We start from the raw sequence: 20,484 nt of genomic DNA, 5'->3' as shown, positions 1-20,484 counted from the left end.
GATCTCCTGACCTCATGATCCACCCACCTCAGCCTCCCAAAGTGCTGGGATTACAGGTGTGAGCCACTCCACCCAGCCCACAGAAGGCTTTTCATACTTGCTTGGCAGCCTCCTGCATCCTACGCCAGCACCTGGCGCTCACACCCTGTGGGCTGCTCTCATCCGTGATCGTCTCTCCCCAGGCCTGCTGTTCATTGAGAAAGGAAGTTGTAATGGGCAGAATTCTAGGACAGCCCCCAAGAGACCCACTCCCTTATATCTGCTCCCTGTATCATCTCTTCTTGAGTGTGTGCAGAGCTTGTGATTTGGCCAAGGGGAAGGAATTTTGCAAATGTGATTATGGTCACACTTGCTGTGTTAAGCACATTTGCTCAGCTGACTTTGAGTTCATCCAAAGCAGGATGATCTTTGGTGGGCCAGACCTAATCAGGTGAGTCTTTTAAAGGTGAAGTTTCAGAGATTCAACCCTTAGCCTCCAAGGAGACACAAATGGCCATGCTGTGAATTGTCTTTGGAGGTGGCAGCTCTAGGAGCTAAGGGCCTTCGTTCAACAATTGCAAGAAATTGAATTCAGTCCACAAACTGAATAAGCTTGGAAGAGGACACTGAGCATCCGATGAGACCCCAGCTGACACTCTGGTTGCCGTATTGTGACCCTGAATAGAAGACCCAGTTAAACCCTGCCCAGACCCTTGGCTCATGGAAACAGATAATAACTGGATGGTGCTTTAAGCTGCTCAGTATGCACTGGTAAATCCACCAACAGGAAAGTAATATAGAAGTTAAATGGGCCAGGCATGGTGGCTCATGCTTGTAATCCCAACACTTTGGGAGGCTAAGGTGGGTGGATCACAAGGTCAGGAGATCGAGACCATCCTGGCCAACATGGTAAAATCCCGTCTCTACTAAAAATACAAAACTTAGCCAGGAGTGGTGGTGGGTGTCTGTAATCCCAGCATTTTGGGAGGCTGACGCATGAAAATCACTTGAACCCAGGAGGCAGAAGTTGCAGTGATCCACGATCATGCCACTGCACTCCAGCCTGGGCAAGAGAGTGAGACTCTGTCTCAAAAAAAAAAAAAAAAAAAAAAAATTGTGCTTAATAATAGCTTGGAAGTGCACATATCTTCTGTGAAGGTTGATGGACTACAATTAGCTTCAAAACACAAATAAGTAACTGTGTTTAAATGAGGCCTTCTGTGTAATATCTAGGGAAAATCAATGTGGCTATTCATATTTTGTTTCCCCTTCCAGGCACAGAGAAGTTGCCCATGACTCTGTGATCCGTTTTGTCCAATGAACCATGAGCAGCAGCAACTTGAATCGCCTCCAGGTGGAAGTGTTAAGAGGCTCTATGATCCACCACATTCCCTTTCCCCTGAAGTGGTGATCAAGGACACATGCAGAGATGGGGCTTTTGTCAGCCTGGATCCCTGAGTGAACACAATGAACAGACCACCACACAATGCCCTAACACAGCCCAGACATGCAACGTGACCAAGAATAAGCCTCACTGTGGCCAGGCATGGTGGCTCATGCCTGTCGTTACAGAACTTTGGGAGGCCAAGGCAGGTGGATCATTTGAGGTCAGGAGTTCAAGACCAGCGTGGCTAACATGGTGAAATCCTGTCTCTATTAAGTACAAAAATTAGCCAGACAGTGGTGGCAGGGGCCTGTAATCCCAGCTACTCAGGAGGCAGGAGAATCACTTGAGTCTGGGAGGCAGAGGTTGCAGTGAGCTGAGATTGCACCACTGCACTCTAGTCTGGGTGACAGAGTGAGACCCTGTCTCAAAAACAAACAAACAAATACCTCACTGCATGGAGCCACTGAGATTTGGGGATTGTTGTTACTGCACCAGAACCCAAATCATCCTGACCACTAGAGTGTCCTAACTAGGGTTTCTTACCAAAAGCAAAGGCATTTTTAAACTTCGTGACATTTAAACAAAACAGCAAATACTAATATCTACCACTTTGTCAGGCTAACACACCCAAACAAAGCCAACAGCCAGAAGTTAAAATAAACAGATCATTAGGTTGAAAATAGAACTGTCAAAACAGGCACAATTGACTTCATTTAGTGATTGCAAAGAACGTCAGGCAAGACACAGGTGTGGTCATCATAACATTTATCACATGCTTAATTGCACATGTTTGACTAAGAAAAACACAAAGTATTTAAGCTCATCTGTAGTTCAAAGTGCCTATCCGTGTATTTATCTATTCATCCTGATTTATTTATTGAGCAACTCTTTTGTGCCAGGCACTGTGCTGTGTTGCGGGAAGTCAGGGACCCCAAACGGAGGGACCGGCTGAAGCCATGACAGAAGAATGTGGATTATGAAGATTTTATGGACATTTATTAGTTCCCCAAATTAATACTTTTGTAATTTCCTATGCCTTCCTTTACTGCAATCTCTAAACATAAATTGTAAAGATTTCATGGACACTTATCACTTCCCCAATCAATACCCTTGTGATTTCCTATGCCTGTCATTACTTTAATCTCTTAATCCTGTCAGCCCAGAAGGATGTATATCGTCTCAGGACCTGTAATAATTGCGTTAGGTACACAAATTGTACAGCATGTGTGTTTGAGCAATATGAAATGTGGGCACCCTGAAAAAAGAACAGGATCACAGCAATTGTTCAGGGAATAAGAGAGATAACCTTAAACTCTGACCGCCGGTGAGCCGGGCAGAACAGAACCATATTTCTCTTCTTTCAAAAGCAAATGGGAGAAATATCGCTGAATTCCTTTTCTCAGCATGGAACGCCCCTGAGAAAGAGAATGCGCACCTAGGGGTAGGTCTCTGAACTGGCCCCGTGGGGCGTACCTGTCTCTTATGGTCGAGATTGCAGAGATGAAATAAACTCCAGTCTCCCATAGCGCTCCCAGGCTTATTAGGAAAAGAAAATTCCCACCTAATAAACTTTGGTCAGACCGGTTGATCTCAAAACCCTGTCTCCTGATAAGATGTTATCAATGACAATGGTGCCAAAACTTCATTAGCAATTTTAATTTCACTTCGGTCCTGTGGTCTCGCCCTGTCTCCACTTGCCTTGAGATATTCTATTATCCTGTTAAGTACTTGATGTCTGTCACCCACACCTATTTGTATACTCCCTCCCCTTTTGAAACTCCCTAATAAAAACTTGCTGGTTTTTGTGGCTTGTGGGACATCACGGATCCTACCAATGTGTGATGTCTCTCCCGGACGCCCAGCTTTAAAATTTCTCTCTTTTGTACTCTGTCCTTTTATTTCTCAAGCAAGTCGACGCTTAGGAAAATAGAAAAGAACCTACGTGATTATCGGGGCAGGTCTCCCGATATCTGGCGCCCACGTGGTCTTTCTTTTTTCCTAAGTGCATGAGGGAACCGGATTCCCTTTGGTAGGTGCGGTGAAACGTCAATCGGCTTGGTCCACAGATAAGCGTGTTCAACTCCCCGACGAGTGGTGAGTAATCTGTGTAAGGTCTGGGTTAACTATGGGTAATGTGTAATCTAACAAACTCCTGTTAAAACAGGTAACCATGAAAAATATGATCACTCTATTCAGGGCAGTAGAAAAATATTGTTCTTGGTTTCCTGAAAAAGGAACCGTGTATATAAAATTGTGTGATAGTGTTCGTAAAGCATTCCGAAAACTGGTCTCGGCCGGGTATTGTGTTCCCATCACTGTTTGGGGTGCTTGGTGCGTGCCATCTTCGTGGCTTGCCAATCTCGTGACCCCCTGCAGTTGCCACAGTTTTCTGCCTTTTCCTCAGTTTCTCTGCCTTTTTCTCAACCTTCCTCTCGCACATGGCCTTCGTTCAGACTCTCCCTTCAGTTACCCCTCCCCTACCTAACGATTCTGAAAATTCGATTTCTAACTCTGGTAACTTTGGCTTAAAGTTACCCCCTGCTTTTCTTCTTCTCATGAAAAGCCGGTACTTCAAACTCCTGCGGCTGTGAATCACAAAGCCCGGTACCATAAATATGCTAATTCTTCTCTCTTCAAACCTCCAGCATCAACTAATGGCTCTGGGACCAAACTACAATTTACCTGTCATTCTCCGGGCCCTCCCCCATCCACTACAACCCCTCACCCTCCTGTCGTTTCAGTTCCTCAACCAGTCTGCGTCGATATGCGCCGCTCAATCTTACCTTTTTAAAAACAATTTAAGGATGCTTGTACTCAGTATGGTCCTACGTTTCCTCATGTTCAAATGGCATTGCAAACTTTTTATACTGAGGTCGTTTTGCTTCCTTTAGACTGTGATCTTTTGGCAAAAAGCTGTTCTAAGTCCATCTCAGCCTGGTGGTCAGAGGAGGCCTGTTTACAGGCTCAGCTAAATCGGAGTAATGGCATTCTAATTACTCAGGCTCAGCTCACAGGCTCCGATAGTTTCTCTGATGCTTATGCCCAATTAAACTTTGATACTCTTACCACAGAACAAGTAACAAAAGTGTGTATGAGAGCTTGGGAGAAATTACACTCCCCAGCCCAAGCTCCTGTTTCTTTTACTATGTTAAACAAGCTCAATTGCTTTTACTACCTAATATCCTTTTAAACAAAGGAGATAAGACACGTGGCCCTGGGATTCAGCAGTGGCCGCTTTCTAAAGAAAAACTGGAGGCTTTAAATCAATTGGTTTCTGAGCAGTTACAGCTTGGAAATGTGGAACCTTCTCTTTCCCCTTGGAATTCTCCTGTGTTTCTAGTAAAAAAGAAATCAGGCAAATGGCGGATGGTAACCGATTTAAGGGCCATTAATGCTGTAATTAAACCTATGGGGGCCGTCCAACCCGGCATGCCTGCCCCTGCTTTAATACCTAAAGATTGGCCTCTCATAGTTAGTGATCTTGAAGAGTTTTTTTTTTTTCATATCGCTTTACATAAATCGGATTGTGAAAAATTTGCTTTTACTGTACCATCTATCAATAATCAGGAGCCTGTAGCTCGTTATCAATGGAAAGTACTTCCTCAGGGAATGCTAAATAGCCCTACAATCTGCCAGCTTTATGTTGGACAAGAGCTTTCACCAGTTTGAGCCCGATTTCCCGACGCCTATATTCTTCATTATATTGATGATATTTTAATTTCTGCCCCCACTGATAAAAAATTAATTGACTGTTACCAAATTTTGAGCCGCTGTGTTACAGAGGCTGGATTACACATTGCTCAGGATAAAATTCAACAGACCACTCCTGTTCAATATTTAGGAATGGTGGTCGATAAAAAATGTATACAACCTCAAAAAGTTCAAATTAGGAGAGATCCTTTAAAAACTTTAAATGACTTCCAAAAACTTTTGGGTAACATTAATTATTTAAGACCTACTTTAGGCATTCCGACCTATGCCCTGTCTAACTTGTTCTCTATGCTGCGGGGAGATTCTGATCTCTGCAGCCCTAGGACTTTGACCCCTGAGGCTTTACTAGATCTGGAATTTGTAGAGGAAAAAATCCAGACTGCCCAGTTATCTAGAGTACAGCCATTTCAGCCTCTTCAGCTTCTGGTTTTTGCTTCATTACACTCCCCTACTGCACTAATAGTTCAACATAATGATTTAGTGGAGTGGTGTTTTCTTCCTCATTCTGTGTCAAAAACTTTATCTAGACCAAATAGCCATATTAATTGGACAGGTTCGGTGCAGAATACTTCAAATTTCTGGATTTGATCCAAATGTAATTGTAGTTCCTTTAAATCAGCTCGAAGTTCAAGCTGCCTTTCAACATTCTGTACTGTGGCAAATTCACTTGGCTGATTTTATTGGTGTTATTGACAATCATTATCCAAAAAAACAAATTGTTTGATTTTATAAAAATAACGTCTTGGGTGGTTCCTCTATTAACCAAAAATCAACCCATTCCTGAGACCGTTACAGTATTCACTGATGGCTCTAGTAAGGCAGTGCTGGCTATATAGGTCCTGCAGACAAACTTATTTCTACCTCTTATACTTCCGTTCAAAAGGCGGAGTTAATTGCTGTGATTACTGCCTTACAAGATTTCCCCAAACCTTTAAATATTGTCTCTTATTCTACTTAACCTGCGGAAGAGGATATGCTTGTGTTTCACCAGGAGATCATCAATCCCCTGTCTGGGTACCTACCAGAAGACTCAAGCTTCTTGTGAATACTGACAAAACCACAGTGAAGAGACGTCTGTGTCAGAGACTGCCTTCAGATGTGGTGAGATCTGTGCCGACTCCTCAGAAACAGGCACACCAAATCACAATGGGTGTAAATCAGTCCTCCCTGATGGCATTGGAGACCCATCTAACTAATCACACTTCTCCTGATTACCTTTCTTTTTCTCCTTACAAACCTAAATATCTCACCATTTCTATTAGCCTGAAAATAACATCCCTCTGTTCTTCTCTTTCTCCTTCAGCACTCCATCTCGCTTACACTAGGTTTTATTTAATGATTCTCCTCCTTATACTTTCTGTCTCACCAGTTTCCTCTCACACTGATTTACCTGCTACACAGAATTATTCTTATTGGGCTTATGTGCCTTTTCCTCCACTCATTCATCCTCTCACCTGGATAGATGCTCCCGCAGAAATCTACACTAACGATAGTGTGTGGATGCCTGGAGCCATAGACGACCCTTGCCCTGCTCAACCAGGAGAAGAAGGCACTGCATTTAATGTTACCATGGGTTAGAAATACCCACCTCTGTGCCTCCGACATGCACCTGGTTGCATCCATCTAGAAACTCAGTTCTGGGCTGCTTATCTTTTAGAAACATCTGCTACAGATAAAATGGGACATTTGGTCTCTGGCCTCTCCCTTTCTCCTTTAAAACAAATGAAAGGAGGAGTAATGGGAGGTACCGCATACTTTCAATATAAACCTGCAGGAAAACCATGCCCTAAACATTTTGAGGGCCCATCTAAAACTTTAATTTGGGAAGATTGTGTTAACTCACATGCAGTAATATTGAAAAATGACTCATATGGTTTAGTAATAGACTGGGCACCAAAGGGCTATTTCAAAAACAATTGCTCCTCCGTGGAAGGGAATGCCTGGAGGCTACTTATTTTATTTCTTACCAGGAGAAAGAGAATAATCATTCTACTTTGCATACAAGGACCAGCTCATTCTTTCCCTTAAAATGGGAAGATAAAGGCATTACCACCCCCCCAGGCCTCGTATGATACTCCCTATTCTGAGCCCAGAACACCCAGAATTTTGGAAATTGGCTATTGCCATGTCTGAACTGCGAGTATGGGAAGGAAAAACTATTTTGACTGTTGTTCCCACTACCGTCCCACTCTCAGTATCATTGTAGACCCAGACATTCTGCTTTACTTACCTCCAACCTGACTGTTCCCATACAGAGTTGTGTTAAGCCTCCTTACATGCTATTGGTAGGAAATATCAAAATTTGGATGAATAATCAAACTGTCCAATGCGTCAATTGTCATCTATACACTTGTATTAACTCCCATTTTGACTCCAGGAAAAGTGTAATGTTGGTTCGAGCTCAAGAAGGAATCTGGATTCCGATAACTTTACCTAGACCTTGGGAATCCTCCACCTCAATACATTTAATTAATGAAGTGGTACAAAGCATTCTAAAAAGATCTCAGAGATTTGTTTTCACTTTAATCGCTGTTACCATGGGCCTAATTACAGTCACTGCAATGGCCACCACTGCCGGAATGGCATTACACCAGTCTACTCAAACAGCTCATTTTGTTAATGATTGGCAAGCCAATTCCACCCAAATGTGGAATTCTCAACAAGGCATCGATCAAAAATTGGCAAATCAAATTAATGATTTAAGACACTCTGTTATTTGGCTTGGAGATCGGGTAGTGAGTCTAGAACATCGCATGCAAATGCACTGCGATTGGAATACTTTGGATTTCTGCATCACCCCGTATTCCTATATCAAGACTGATCATTCATGGGGAAATGGTCAAAGGACACCTTCTAGGTAGAAAAGATAATTTATCACTGGACACAACTAAATTAAAAAAACAAATTTTTGAATCCTCCCAAGCTCACTTATCCATCATGCCTGGAGCTCAGACGTTAGATCAGGTGGCAGAAAATCTTTATGGATTAAACCCCACAACTTGGATTAAGTCTATTGGGGGCTCCACTATAGTAAATTTTGGAATTATGTTTCTCTGCTTAATCGGCTTGCTTTTAGTGTGCCGTACCAGTCAAATAATACTGTGTCAAAATCGAGAGAATGAACAAGCCTTCATCGCCATGGAACATTTACATAAAAAGAAAGGGAGAGATGTTGCGGGAAGTCAGGGACCCCAAACGGAGGGACCGGCTGAAGCCATGACAGAAGAACGTGGATTATGAAGATTTTATGGACATTTATTAGTTCCCCAAATTAATACTTTTGTAATTTCTTATGCCTGTGTTTACTGCAATCTCTAAACATAAATTTTGAAGATTTTATGGACACTTATCACTTCCCCAATCAATACCCTTGTGATTTCCTATGCCTGTCATTACTTTAATCTCTTAATCCTGTCAGCCGAGAAGGATGTATATCGTCTCAGGACCTGTAATAATTGCGTTAAGTACACAAATTGTACAGCATGTGTGTTTGAGCAATATGAAATGTGGGCACCCTGAAAAAAGAACAGGATCACAGCAATTGTTTAGGGAATAAGAGAGATAACCTTAAACTCTGACCACCGGCGAGCCGGGCAGAACAGAACCATATTTCTCTTTTTTCAAAAGCAAATGGGAGAAATATCATTGAATTCCTTTTCTCAGCATGGAACGCCCCTGAGAAAGAGAATGCGCACCTAGGGGTAGGTCTCTGAACTGGCCCCGTGGGGCGTACCTGTCTCCTATGGTCGAGATTGCAGAGGTGAAATAAACTCCAGTCTCCCATAGCACTCCCAGGCTTATTAGGAAGAGAAAATTCACACCTAATAAACTTTGGTCAGACAGGTTGATCTCAAAACCCTGTCTCCTGATAAGATGTTATCAACGACAATGGTGCCAAAACTTCATTAACAATTTTAATTTCACTTCCGTCCTGTGGTCCTGTGATCTTGCCCTGTCTCCACTTGCCTTGTGATATTCTATTACTCTGTTAAGTACTTGATGTCTGTCACCCACACCTATTTGTATACTCCCTCCCCTTTTGAAACTCCCTATTAAAAACTTGCTGGTTTTTGTGGCTTGTGGGGCATCACAGATCCTACCAATGTGTGATGTCTCCCCCAGACGCCCAGCTTTAAAATTTCTCTCTTTTGTACTCTGTCCTTTTATTTCTCAAGCCAGTCGACGCTTAGGAAAATAGAAAAGAACCTACCTGATTATCAGGGCAGGTCCCCCGATAGTGTTGGGTGGTGGTAATGCATTGATGAAGATGGCAGGCATGCCTCTGCCCTCCAGGAGTTTCTAGGATACAGAGGGGGACAAATAAAAAATAAGTAAATCCATGAAAGAAGTATAGGTGGAACCTGCACCCAATATTTCAATGTAGGTTCTTTCTATTTTCCCTAAGTGTCAGCCAGCTGAGAAATAGAGACACTACAAAGAGAGGAATTTTACAGCTGGGCTGCTGGGGGTGACATTACACATCAGTAGGACCGTGATTCCCCCTGAGTCTCAGATGAGCAAGTTTTTATTAAGGGCTTCAAAAGGGGAGGGTGTGTAAGAACAGGGAGTATGTACAAAGGTCACATGCTTCAAAGGGTAAAAAGCAGAACTACTACTAAGGGTCTAACAAAGATCACATGCTTCTGAGGGAACAGGACAAAGGGCAAAAGCAGAACTACTGATAAGTGTCCAGCAAAGATCACAAAGCAAAGGGCAAAAGCAGAACCACTGATAAGGGTCTATGTTCATTCACGCATGTATTGTCTTGATAAACATCTTAAACAACAGAAAACAGGGTTCAAGAGCAGAGAACCAGTCTGACCACAGGTATATCAGGGCGGAGTTTTTCTCCACCCTAGTAAGCCTTTGGGTACTGCAGGAGACCAGGGCGTATCTCAGTCCTTATCTCAACCGCATAAGACAGATATTCCCAGAGCGGCCATTTATAGACCTTCCCCCAGGAATGCATTCCTTTCCCAGGGTATTACTATTAATATTCCTTGCTAGGAAAAGAATTTAGCGATATCTCTCCTACTTGCACATCCGTTTATAGACTCTGCAAGAAGAAACATATGGCTCTTTTTGCCCAACCCAGCAGGCAGTCAGACCTTATGGTTGTCTTCCTTTGTTCCCTAAAAATTGCTGTTATTCTCTTCTTTTTCAAGGTGCACTGATTTCATATTGTTGAAACACACGTTTTACAATCAATTTGTACAGTTAACACAATTATCACAGTGGTCCTGAGGTGATGTACATCCTTAGCTTATGAATATAACAGAATTAAGAGATTAAAGACAGGCATAACAAATTATAAAAGTATTATTTGGGAACTGATAAATGTCCATGAAATCTTCACCATTTATGTTCCTCTGCCATGGCTCCAGCCAGTCCCTCTCCATTTGGGGTCCCTGACTTCCCACAACAAGAAACAATAAGAGGTTAAGGTGGAGAAGAGCAGGGAAGTCCACTTTATAAAGGGGTCAGGAAAGAGCTGTCTGTGGAAGCACCATTTTAGCTGAGACCTAAAGGATGGTCTAATCTGGGGAGGTGCAGAGGAAAATCATTCCAGGCTGAAGCAGTAAGTGCAAAGGCCCTGTTGTGGAAAAAGGTTTGAAAGTCCAAGAAAACAAAAGGAGGCCATAGTGGCTGAAATAGAGTAGGCCAAGGGCAGGAGATAGGAGAGGGCTGGAGAGGTGGCAGGAACAGGCAGAAGACTCGGGGTCTCGATTTTATTCTATGTACCATGGGCAGGAAAGGCAGGGATGAGACTCAATGGACACCTTAAGATCACTGAAGCTGCCAGGTAGGAAATGGATTGCTGAGCATGGAGAGCAGGTGCAGAGTACCAGTTAAGACCAGTTAGGAGGCTGCTGTAGCCCAGCTGAGATAGTGGTGTCCTAGGCAAAGATAATGACAGTGAAGCTAGAGAGAGTGGACAAGTTGGATAAAGTTTAGAATCACAGGACTTGCTGACTGGAGAAGAGAGCAAAAGCAGAGTTAGCACAACACATGAGTTATGACCACCTTGAGCAGCTCAGCAGGGGGTGGTGCCATTTGCAGAACAGAGATGGCATGAACAGAACCCATGGAGAAGGAGGAGGAAAAAGAGAGTTTGGCTTTGGGTTTTCTTTAAGACATGGTCTCTGGCTGTGTCACCCAGGCTGGAGTGCACTGGTGCAATCATAGCTCTTTGCAGCCTCGAACTCCTGGGCTCAAGTGATCCTCCTGCCTCAGCCTGCCATGTAGCAGGACTACAGATCCTACAGATGCACATCACCATGCCTAGCTTTTTTTTTTTTTTTTTTTTTTTTTTTTTTTTTTTTTTTTTTTTTTTGTAGATAGGGAGTCTCACTGTGTTTTCAAGGCTGGCTTCAAACTCCTGGCCTCAAGTAATCCTCCCACCTCAGCCTCCCATAGCACTGGGATTACAGCCATCACCTACCAATCCAAGCCATGAGTTTGGCTTTGGATGTAACAAGGTTGAGGTGTTCACGAGTTGACAAATGGAAAAAACAAAAAAGAAGTTGAGTGTTGGCCGGGCGCGGTGGCTCACGCCTGTAGTCCCAGCACTTTGGGAGGCCGAGGCGGGTGGATCATGAGGTCAGGAGATCGAGACCATCCTGGCTAACACGGTGAAACCCCGTCTCTACTAAAAATACAAAAAATTAGCCGGGCGCGGTGGCGGGCGCCTGTAGTCCCAGCTACTGGGGAGGCTGAGGCAGGAGAATGGCGTGAACCCGGAAAGCGGAGCTTGCAGTGAGCCGAGATTGCGCCACTGCAGTCCGCAGTCCGGCCTGGGCGACAGAGCAAGACTCCGTCTCAAAAAAAAAAAAAAAAAAAAAAAAAAAAAAAAAAAAAGAAGTTGAGTGTTTAAGACTGCTGTTTGAAGGAGAAGTCTAGCCTCAAGACAAAAGTTCAGGACTCATCAGCTGAGAAATGGCACTGAAAATTACGTAAATGGATGAGCTCAGCTAGCAAACAAGACCAGAGAGAGCAGAAAGTCCAGAGAGAGCAGCACTGGGCTATGCACCTGGCCTAATGCTGCCCCGCTCCTCCCAATCCCTGTGTTATGCTGGAGAGGGTTCAGCCTCTGGTGAGTTTCACCAAACCCCCACATCTCTTTCTTCTGAGACCTTCTCTAAAATCCCGTCTTTTATACTTAGTGAAATGGGATTCTCTTTTTCCCATCCAGCTTAAGCAAAAACTTTTGACTATGAGAAGAATGAGGATGCATTTATTATCTGTTCTGCATGGCTAATTCCATCAAAGATTTCTCATTATTCATGCCTGGCACTCTCATTTTCTTCTTTTGCATCTAAGAGCACAGTCGTAGCCTTAATTACTTACCTTTTCACTCTTCTAATACCAGCGATTTCCCCCATCTCAGTTCTCAGGAAGTTCTGTTTGCAGAATTATCTCCTGAATCCTCACCTGGAGATAGAAATTGTTCTCTGTGGCCATTTCTTCCCCCTCTAATTCTTATCAAAAAACTCAGTGATCTCTGTGCATCAAATATTAAACTCAAGCTCAACAGATCATGATTCTGGCTTGTCTCTCTCTCCGGCCTGTGGGTTAACAGGTTTGCAACCTTTGCAGAGAAGACACCAAATTCTCAGGAGGCCAGAGTTTCCAAAGGTACTAGTCACTCTTGCTCTCTTTCTCCTGCTCAAAATTCAGCACTAGAGAGTGTTACACCATTGCACCTGCAGAGGAGTTCATCTGACTCTAGGGACTACAGAGGAGAGAGATGGACAAACTAACAGGCATTCAGAAAATGACTACCACAATGGGGAAGAAAATGAAAGTCAAAACAAATAAGCAATGGTCAAAAAAAAGAAAAATCTAGAGGGCAGCTGCAGTGGCTCACACGTGTAATCCCAGCACTCTGGGAGGCCGAGGCAGGTGGATCACTTGAGATCAGGAGTTCGAGACCAGCCTGGGCAACATAGGGAAATCACATCTCTACTAAAAATACAAAAATTAGCCAAGTGTGGTGGCGGGCACCTGTAATCCCAGCATTTTGGGAGGCTGAGGTGGGTGGATCACCTGATGTCAGGAGTTTGAGACCAGCCTGGCCAACATGGTGAAACCCTATTTCTATTAAAAAACACAAAAATTAGCCAGGTGTGGTGGCAGGTGCCTGTAATCCCAGCTACTTGGGAGGCTGAGGCAGGAGAATTGCTTGAACCCAGGAGGCAGAGGTTGTGGCGAGCAAAGCTTGCACCACTGCACTCCAGCCTGGGCAAAAGTGAGACTGTCTCAAAAAAAAAAAAAAAAACCAACCTAGGGCTGTCCATCCAGGCTGAAGAGAATATTCCAGAGCAGAGGTTGGGACACTATGGCCCATGGGCCAAATCTGACCTGCTTTGCACATGTGTTTGTCAATAAAGTTTTATTGAAACACAGCCATGCACATTTGCTACATATTGTCTATGGCTGCTGGATTTGGCTGTTCTCTCATGCTATAAAGAAATACCTGAGGCTGGGTAATATATTAAAAAAAGAGGTTTAATTGGCTCACAGTTTTGTAGGCTATACAGGGAGCATGACACTGACAGCCGCTGAGCTTCTGTGGAGGCCTCAGGAAACTTACAATGATGGCAGAAGGTGAAGCGGGAGCAAGAGAGTAAGGTGGGAGGTGCTACACACTCGTAAACAACCCGATCTTGCAAGAACTCACTCACTATTGCAAGGACAGGACCAAAAGGATGACGCTAAATCATTCATGAGAAATCCACCCCCATGATCCAATCTCTTCCCACCAGGCCCCACCTCTAACACTGGGGACAGCTTTTATCTTGGCTTTTTCACTGGCAGCCCCTTCCTCAAGGACTTAACTTGTGCAAGCTGACTCTTAGCACATCCAAGAATGCAATTAACTGATAAGATACTGTGGGGCGAGCAATATCCGCAGTTCCCAGGAATTTGTCCGATTGATAATGCCTAAAGCCCCACGTCTATCATTTTGTAATAGTCTTAAAGCCCTTAGACCTAGAACTGTTTACTTTCCTGTAACAATTTATCCTTTTAACTTTTTTGCCTACTTTACTTCTGTAAAATTCTTTTAACTAGACCCGTTTCCCCTTTCTAAACTGAAGTATAAAAGAAAATCTAGCCCCTTCTTCGGGGCCAAGAGAACTTTAAGAGTTAGCCATTTCTTGACCGCCAGCTAAATAAGCAGACTCTTAATTCATGTGAAAGTGTGGCATTTTCTCTAACTCTTTCAAGTACAACATTTGGAGGCCCCAGCGAGAAACGCCATGAGGCGAGAGCCGGGCTCGCTCCGGGCTCCCCCAGAAGGACGGCCGGCTTGTTGGGGGGTGCCACCTAAAAAAAATTTTCAGGTCCTCGAAAGGTGACCGTCTTCCAGAGGAGAGCGGATCGACTACCGTGTGGGTGACCATAAAAATTCCACCTCTGAGTCCTCGACTTCTGACCCCAAGGTCAGGTAGGTCAGATTTGACTTCAGTTCTAGTAAGAGGGAAGCGGCCCTGACGAGGGTGTCCCTCTTTTGACTCTGCCTGTTTATCTAGGACGCTAGAAGGTAGAGCGCTGGCTTTCTGTTAGGCACCTCTGTGTCTCTTTCTAGGAGGGAAGAGGCCCTGACAGGGACCCTCCCTTGACTCAGTCCACATCCCAGGATGCTGGAGGACTGAGTCCTGGTTTCTGGCAGACCGGTCACTCTCTCTCTCTCTTTTTATATCTCTCATCTTTCTCTTGTTCAAGTTTCTTGAAGAATCTCCAAGAAAGAAAGAAAAAAAAACTGTTATATACTCTGTGTGAATAATGAATGAATGAGGGAGGACAAGGGCTTGCGCTTGTCCTCCAGTTTGTAGCTCCACGGCGAAAGCTACGGAGTTCAAGTAGACCCTCACCTGCGGTTCCTTGGCGACCTCATAAGGCTTAAGGCAGCATCAGGCATAGCTTGATCTGAGCCGCAAGTTTATACCGGCCTGCCAATGGTAAGAGGAGCCCAGGTCCCCTCAGGGGGAGTGGCCAGGCAGGCATCTGACTGATCCCATCACAGGAAACCCTCTCCTTGTCTGTCTAAGAAAAAAAAAAAAGGAAGAAACTGTCATAACTGTTTACATGCCCTAAAGTCAACTGTTTGTTTTATATTGATTGTTCTGTTCAGTGTCTATTGTCTTGTTAGTAGTTGTCAAAGTTTTGCATGTCAAGACGTTGATATTGCCCAAGACGTCTAAGTAAAAACTTCTTCAAAGTCCTTAGTGCTGATTTTTTGTCACAGGAGGTTAAATTTCTCATCAATCATTTAGGCTGACCACCACAGTCCTGTCTTTTCTGCCAGAAGCAAGTCAAGTGTTGTTACAAGAACAAGTGTGAAAAACATTTGCCTGATTAAGATTTCTAGCACCATGAAAGTTGTAAGTATTTAGATCGCCATACTCCTCGTCCAAGTGATTAGACCTCCTCTAAATAAACCAGTAGTGAGTTCAAAACAGCCACCCTGCAGATTTCCTTGCTCACCTCTCTTGTCATTCTGTAACTTTTCCTGTGCCCTTAAGTAAAACACTGTGTAAAGAAACGTACGCCCGTACTGCTTTACTTCGTTAAGATTCTTACTCTGTTCCTCTGTGGCTACTCTCCCATCTTCAAAATGATCAGAGTAGTCCTTTTCCACCTTGTCCCTGCCCCCTATCCCGCACATCTCGTTTTACGGTGCGACAGCAAGTTTACCGTCTCCAGGACTTGGCTCTGCTCTCACTCTTTAAACCCTTAAAAGAAAAAGCTAAGTTTAGGCTATTTGCGTTTAAGTCATAAAGACACCAAAAGTATTTAAAGTGCAGATCTAGAAGAAGAAGAAGAACGCCTAGATCAAACTGACCCAGAAGATCTCAGGCTGGCTCTAGTCCTCCTCCCTCAATCTTAAAGCTACAGCAATGTAGCAAGTAGTATTAGCTGTTGTAAGTTTTTCTGCTCTTTCTAGTCATATTTATACTGTTCTTTCACTACTCCAGTCCCCCAAGAAATAAGTTTCTCTGTCCATGCTAAGTTTAATATCTATGCTCCAATCTTATTAAATTGCCTTCAAAAAAAAAAAAGAAAGAAACACTTCCTCCCAGCCTTGTAAAGTTAAAGCCCTCTCCAATGTATGCTGCAGAATTTTCCTCTCAGTTCCTCAGAGGATTATAAAGTCCGCCTTAAAAAAGGCAAGCTCCAGACACTGTGCAAAATAAAATGGCCAAAGTTTAGAGTCGAGTGGCCCCCTGAAGGGCCATTGAACCTCACAATTGTTCAAGCTGTGTGGCAGGTTGTTACTGAAACTCCTAGCCACCCTGATCAGTTTCCCTACATTGATCAATAGCTAAGTTTAGTCAGGAGCCCCCTCCATGGCTCCGTTCATGCGCCATTCATAATTCTACCTCCAAGGTCCTCCTAAGCCAGACCGCATTTTCGCCTCAACCCTCAGCCGGTTCAGCTCCCCCTGTACTGCCTCCCTCTGAAGAAGAGGAGAGTCTCCCTCACCCAGTCCCACCGCCTTACAACCAGCCTTCTCCCTTAAAGTTATCCCATGTCTGCTCGACGACGTCCCCTGTAGGCTCGCCACCCATTGCCTCTCAATCATGACCGTGGCAGGAAGAAGTAGCCCCTCTACTACCACTGAGAGAGGCACAAGTCCCTCCAGGTGACGAGCGCTCAGCACCCTTCTTAGTTTGTGTTCTTTTTCTACTTCTGACTTATATAATTCGAAAACCCATAATCCTCCCTTCTCTGAAAAGCCCCAGGCTTTGACCTCTCTGACAGTCTGTACTCCGGACTCAACCCGCCCACCTAAGATGATTGCCAACAGCTCCTTTTAACCCTTTTCACCTCTGAAAAGAAGGAACGTATCCAAAAAGAAGCCAAAAAGTACTTCCTCACATCAGCCAACGGACCGGAAGAAGAAGTTAGAGACCTCCTTGAGGAGGTCTTTCCCTCTACCCGGCCTAACCAGAACCCAAATTCCTCAAGTAGAAAGGGAGCTTTAGACGATTTTCACCGGTATCTCCTCGCAAGTATTAAAAGAGCCGCTCAGAAACCCATAAACTTGTCTAAGACGACCGAAGTTGTCCAAAGGCCCGATAAGTCACCAAGAACGTTTTTAGAGCGCCTCCAGGAGGCTTATCGGATTTACACCCCTTTGGACCCGGCAGCTCCCGAAAATAGCCGTGCTCTTCATTTAGCATTTGTGGCTCAGGCAGCCCCGGATATTAAAAAGAAACTCCAAAAACTAAAAAGATTTGCTAGAATAAATATCAGTCAGCTTTTAGAAATAGCCCAAAAAGTTTTTGACAATCAAAAGTTTAAAAAACAAAAACAAGCAACACAGGCAGCTGAAAAGGCCGCTGATAAAGCATTCAAAAGACAAACAAAAATCTTAGTGGCAGCTATCCAAGAAGTACAGAATGAAATAGCCTGTTAATTTAGCATTAACTGAAGCCCCTGCTTTAGCCCTCCCTAATATCTCCATAAAAGCCAAGGAGTTGCTAAAGACGTGCTTACTCAGACTCTAAGACCCTAAAGACGCCCAGTGGCCTATTTATCTAAGAGGCTAGATCCTGTGGCCTCTAGATGGCCAAGTTGTCTGCGAGCCATAGCGGCTACAGCAAGCCTGGCCCAAGAAGATGATAAGTTAACTCTAAGCCAAAATTTAACACTTACAGCTCCTCACGCCTTAAAGACCTTACTACAAAATGCTTCTGGCAAATAGATGTCAAATGCTCGCATCTTGCAGTATCGAAGTTTACTGTTAGATCAGCCTCGTTTGACTTTCTCTCCCACAAAGTGTTTCAATCCAGCTACACTACTTTCTGACTCAGACTGCACTATTCCTGCTCATGACTGTCAAGAACTGTTAGAAACTATCGAAACTGGCCGATCTGATCTTCAAGCTGTGCCCCTAGAAAAGGCAGATGCCGCCTTGTTCACAGACAGTAGCAGCTTCCTCAAGCAGGAAGTATGAAAAGTCAGTGCAGCTGTTACCACGGAGACAGATGTGTTGTAAGCTCAAGCTTTACCAGCGAACACCTCAGCACAAAAGGCTCAATTCATCGCCCTCACTCAGGCTCTCTGATAAAGTAAGAATAAACGTATTAACATTTACACTGACAGCAAGTACGCCTTTGCTACTGTGCATGTACATAAAGCCATCTACCAGGAAAGCAGGCTACTCACCTCAGCAGGTAGCTGTGATCCACTGCAAAGGACATCAAAAAGAAAACACGGCCGTTGCCCATAGTAACCAGAAACCTGATTCAGCAGCTCAGGTCGCAGCGAGACTTTCAGTCACGCCTCTAAACTTGCTGCCCACAGTCTCCTTTCCACAGCCAGATCTGCCTGACAATCCCGTACACTCAACAACAACAACAAAAAACTGGCTTCAGATCTCAGAGTCAATAAAAATCAGGAAAGTTAGTAGATTCTTCCTGACTCTAGACGCTTCATATCCTGAACCCTTAAAGAAAATTTAGTCCGTCACCTACAGTCTACCACCCACTTAAAAAGAGCAAAGCTACCTCAGCTCCTGCGGAGCCATTTTAAGATCCCCCGTCTTCAAAGCCTAACAGATTAAGCAGCTCTCCAGTTCACAACCTGCGCCCAAGTAAATGCCAAACAAAGTCCTAAACCCAGCCCAGGCCACTGTCTCTGAAAAACCTCGCCAAGAAAAAAGTAAGAAATTGACTTTACAGAAGTCAAACCACACCAGGCTAAGTACAAATGCCTTCTAGTACTAGTAGACACCTTCTCCAGATAGACTAAGGCATTTGCTACCGAAAACGAAACCACCAACACAGTAGTTAAGTTTTTACACAATGAAATCATCGTTCAGTATAGGCTGCCTGCTGCCATAAAGTCTGATAATAGAACAGCCTTCACGTCGCCTATAGCTCAGTCAGTCAGTAAGGCCTTAAACATTCAATAGAAGCTCCATCGTGCCTATCAACCTCAGAGCTCCAGGCAAGTACAACGCATGAACCACACCCTAAAAAACACTCTTACAAAATCTTAAAAACCAGTGTAAATTAAGTAAGTCTCCTTCCTTTAGCTCTACTTAAAGTAAGGTGCACCCCTTACCACGCTAAGTTCTCACCCTTTGAAATCATGTATAAGAAGGCGCTGCCTCTCTTGCCTAAGTGAAGAGATGTGAAATTAGCAGAAATATCACAAACTAATTTATTACAGTACCTATATTCTCTCCAACAGGTACAAGATATTATCCTGCCACTTGTTTGAGGAGCCCTTCCCAATCCAATTCCTGACCAGAAAAAGTCCTGCCATTCATTCCAGCCAGGAGACCTAGCATTTGTTAAAAAGTTCCAAAAAGAAAGACTCACTCCTGCTTAGAAAAGACCTCACACCGTCATCCTCACGACTCCAACTGCTCTGAAAGTAGGCGGCATTCCTGCTAGATTCATCACTCCCGCATCAAAAAGTCCAACAGAGCCCAGCTCAAAACATAAGTCCCCAGGCCTAAGTCAGGCCCCTTAAAACTGCACCTAAGTCAGGTGAAGCCATTAGATTCATTCTTTTTGTCTACCTCACTTATTTGTTTTTGCCAGTTACATCCTCTGTGCCTTCCTACTCCTTTCTCCTCACCTCTTTCACAACAGGACGTGTATTTGCAAACACCACTTAGAAGGTCCGTACCTCCAAGGAAGTCTCCTTTGCAGTTGATTTATTTGTACTATTCCCAAAGCCAGCCCACACCCACAAAAACAACACCATCTGCCAGTCCCAGGAGCAGGAAGTGTCGACCTTGCAGCAAGATTCAGACACTCCAAGAGCCAAACTAATTGCAGAAGCTCCAAAAGTGCAGAAAAAAAGACTCCAAAATGTTGACTTTTACCTCTGTCCTAGAAATCACCCTGACGCTAGCTGTCAAGATGCTTATCAGTTTTTCTGCCCTGATTAGACATGTGTAACTTTAGCCACCTACTCTAAAAGATCAACCAGATCTTCAACTCTTTCCATAACTCGTGCTTCTCATCCTAAATTATGTACTAGAAAAAACTGTAATCCTCTAACTGTCCATGACCTTAATTCAACTCAATAGTATCATGGCATGTCATGAACATTAAGATTTTATATCCCAGGATTTAATGTTAAGTATATGTTCACCATCCAAAAAAACCCTAGTCTCATAAAGCCCACCCAAGTCAATCAGGCCTTTAACTGATCTAAGTAACCCTATGTTCCAGGAACACCCTGACAAAGTTGATTTAACTGTTCCTCCACCTTTCTTAGTCATAAAAGATACACTCCAAAAAGTGCAAGAAAATCTAGAAAAGCGCCAACAAGAACAAGAAAGTAACATCCCCTAGTATCAACGCATGTTCAACTAGAACCCATAGCTAACCACTCTAATTACTAAGTTAGCTGGACCCCCTCCCCATCCTACTAATAAG

At 43.9% G+C, this 20,484-nt stretch overlaps 1 long non-coding RNA gene across 4 annotated transcripts in view, besides 2 other annotated features; it reads right to left on the bottom strand.

The window, feature by feature from the left end:
- The window catches only part of LOC101928217 (uncharacterized), a 43,451-nt gene extending 23,718 nt beyond the window's left edge, over nucleotides 1-19,733 (bottom strand). Inside the window, exons 1-4 of one of the 4 annotated variants that reach the window (XR_001741554.2) lie at nucleotides 18,254-19,020; nucleotides 14,953-15,124; nucleotides 12,425-12,508; nucleotides 9,288-9,376 (exon numbers count right to left, since the gene is read on the bottom strand). This is a non-coding gene — a long non-coding RNA (uncharacterized LOC101928217). The other 3 variants (XR_002959776.2, XR_001741555.2, XR_001741557.2) reach the window with 3 other exon arrangements.
- Nucleotides 2,640-3,253: an enhancer, noted in NCBI's record as "OCT4-NANOG-H3K27ac hESC enhancer chr4:4049911-4050524 (GRCh37/hg19 assembly coordinates)". NCBI's record gives its function as "activates a minimal SCP1, AML or CMV promoter by ChIP-STARR-seq in naive H9 embryonic stem cells {active_cell/tissue: H9 hESC(naive)}" and the evidence as "EXISTENCE:reporter gene assay evidence [ECO:0000049][PMID:30033119]".
- Nucleotides 3,868-4,481: an enhancer, noted in NCBI's record as "OCT4-NANOG-H3K27ac hESC enhancer chr4:4048683-4049296 (GRCh37/hg19 assembly coordinates)". NCBI's record gives its function as "activates a minimal SCP1, AML or CMV promoter by ChIP-STARR-seq in primed H9 embryonic stem cells {active_cell/tissue: H9 hESC(primed)}" and the evidence as "EXISTENCE:reporter gene assay evidence [ECO:0000049][PMID:30033119]".
- Nucleotides 19,734-20,484: the final 751 nt, after the last annotated feature.

Source organism: Homo sapiens, chromosome 4, assembly GCF_000001405.40.
Source record: "Homo sapiens chromosome 4, GRCh38.p14 Primary Assembly".
NCBI lineage: Eukaryota > Metazoa > Chordata > Mammalia > Primates > Hominidae > Homo > Homo sapiens.
This window is presented reverse-complemented; position numbering and strand designations above follow the sequence as displayed.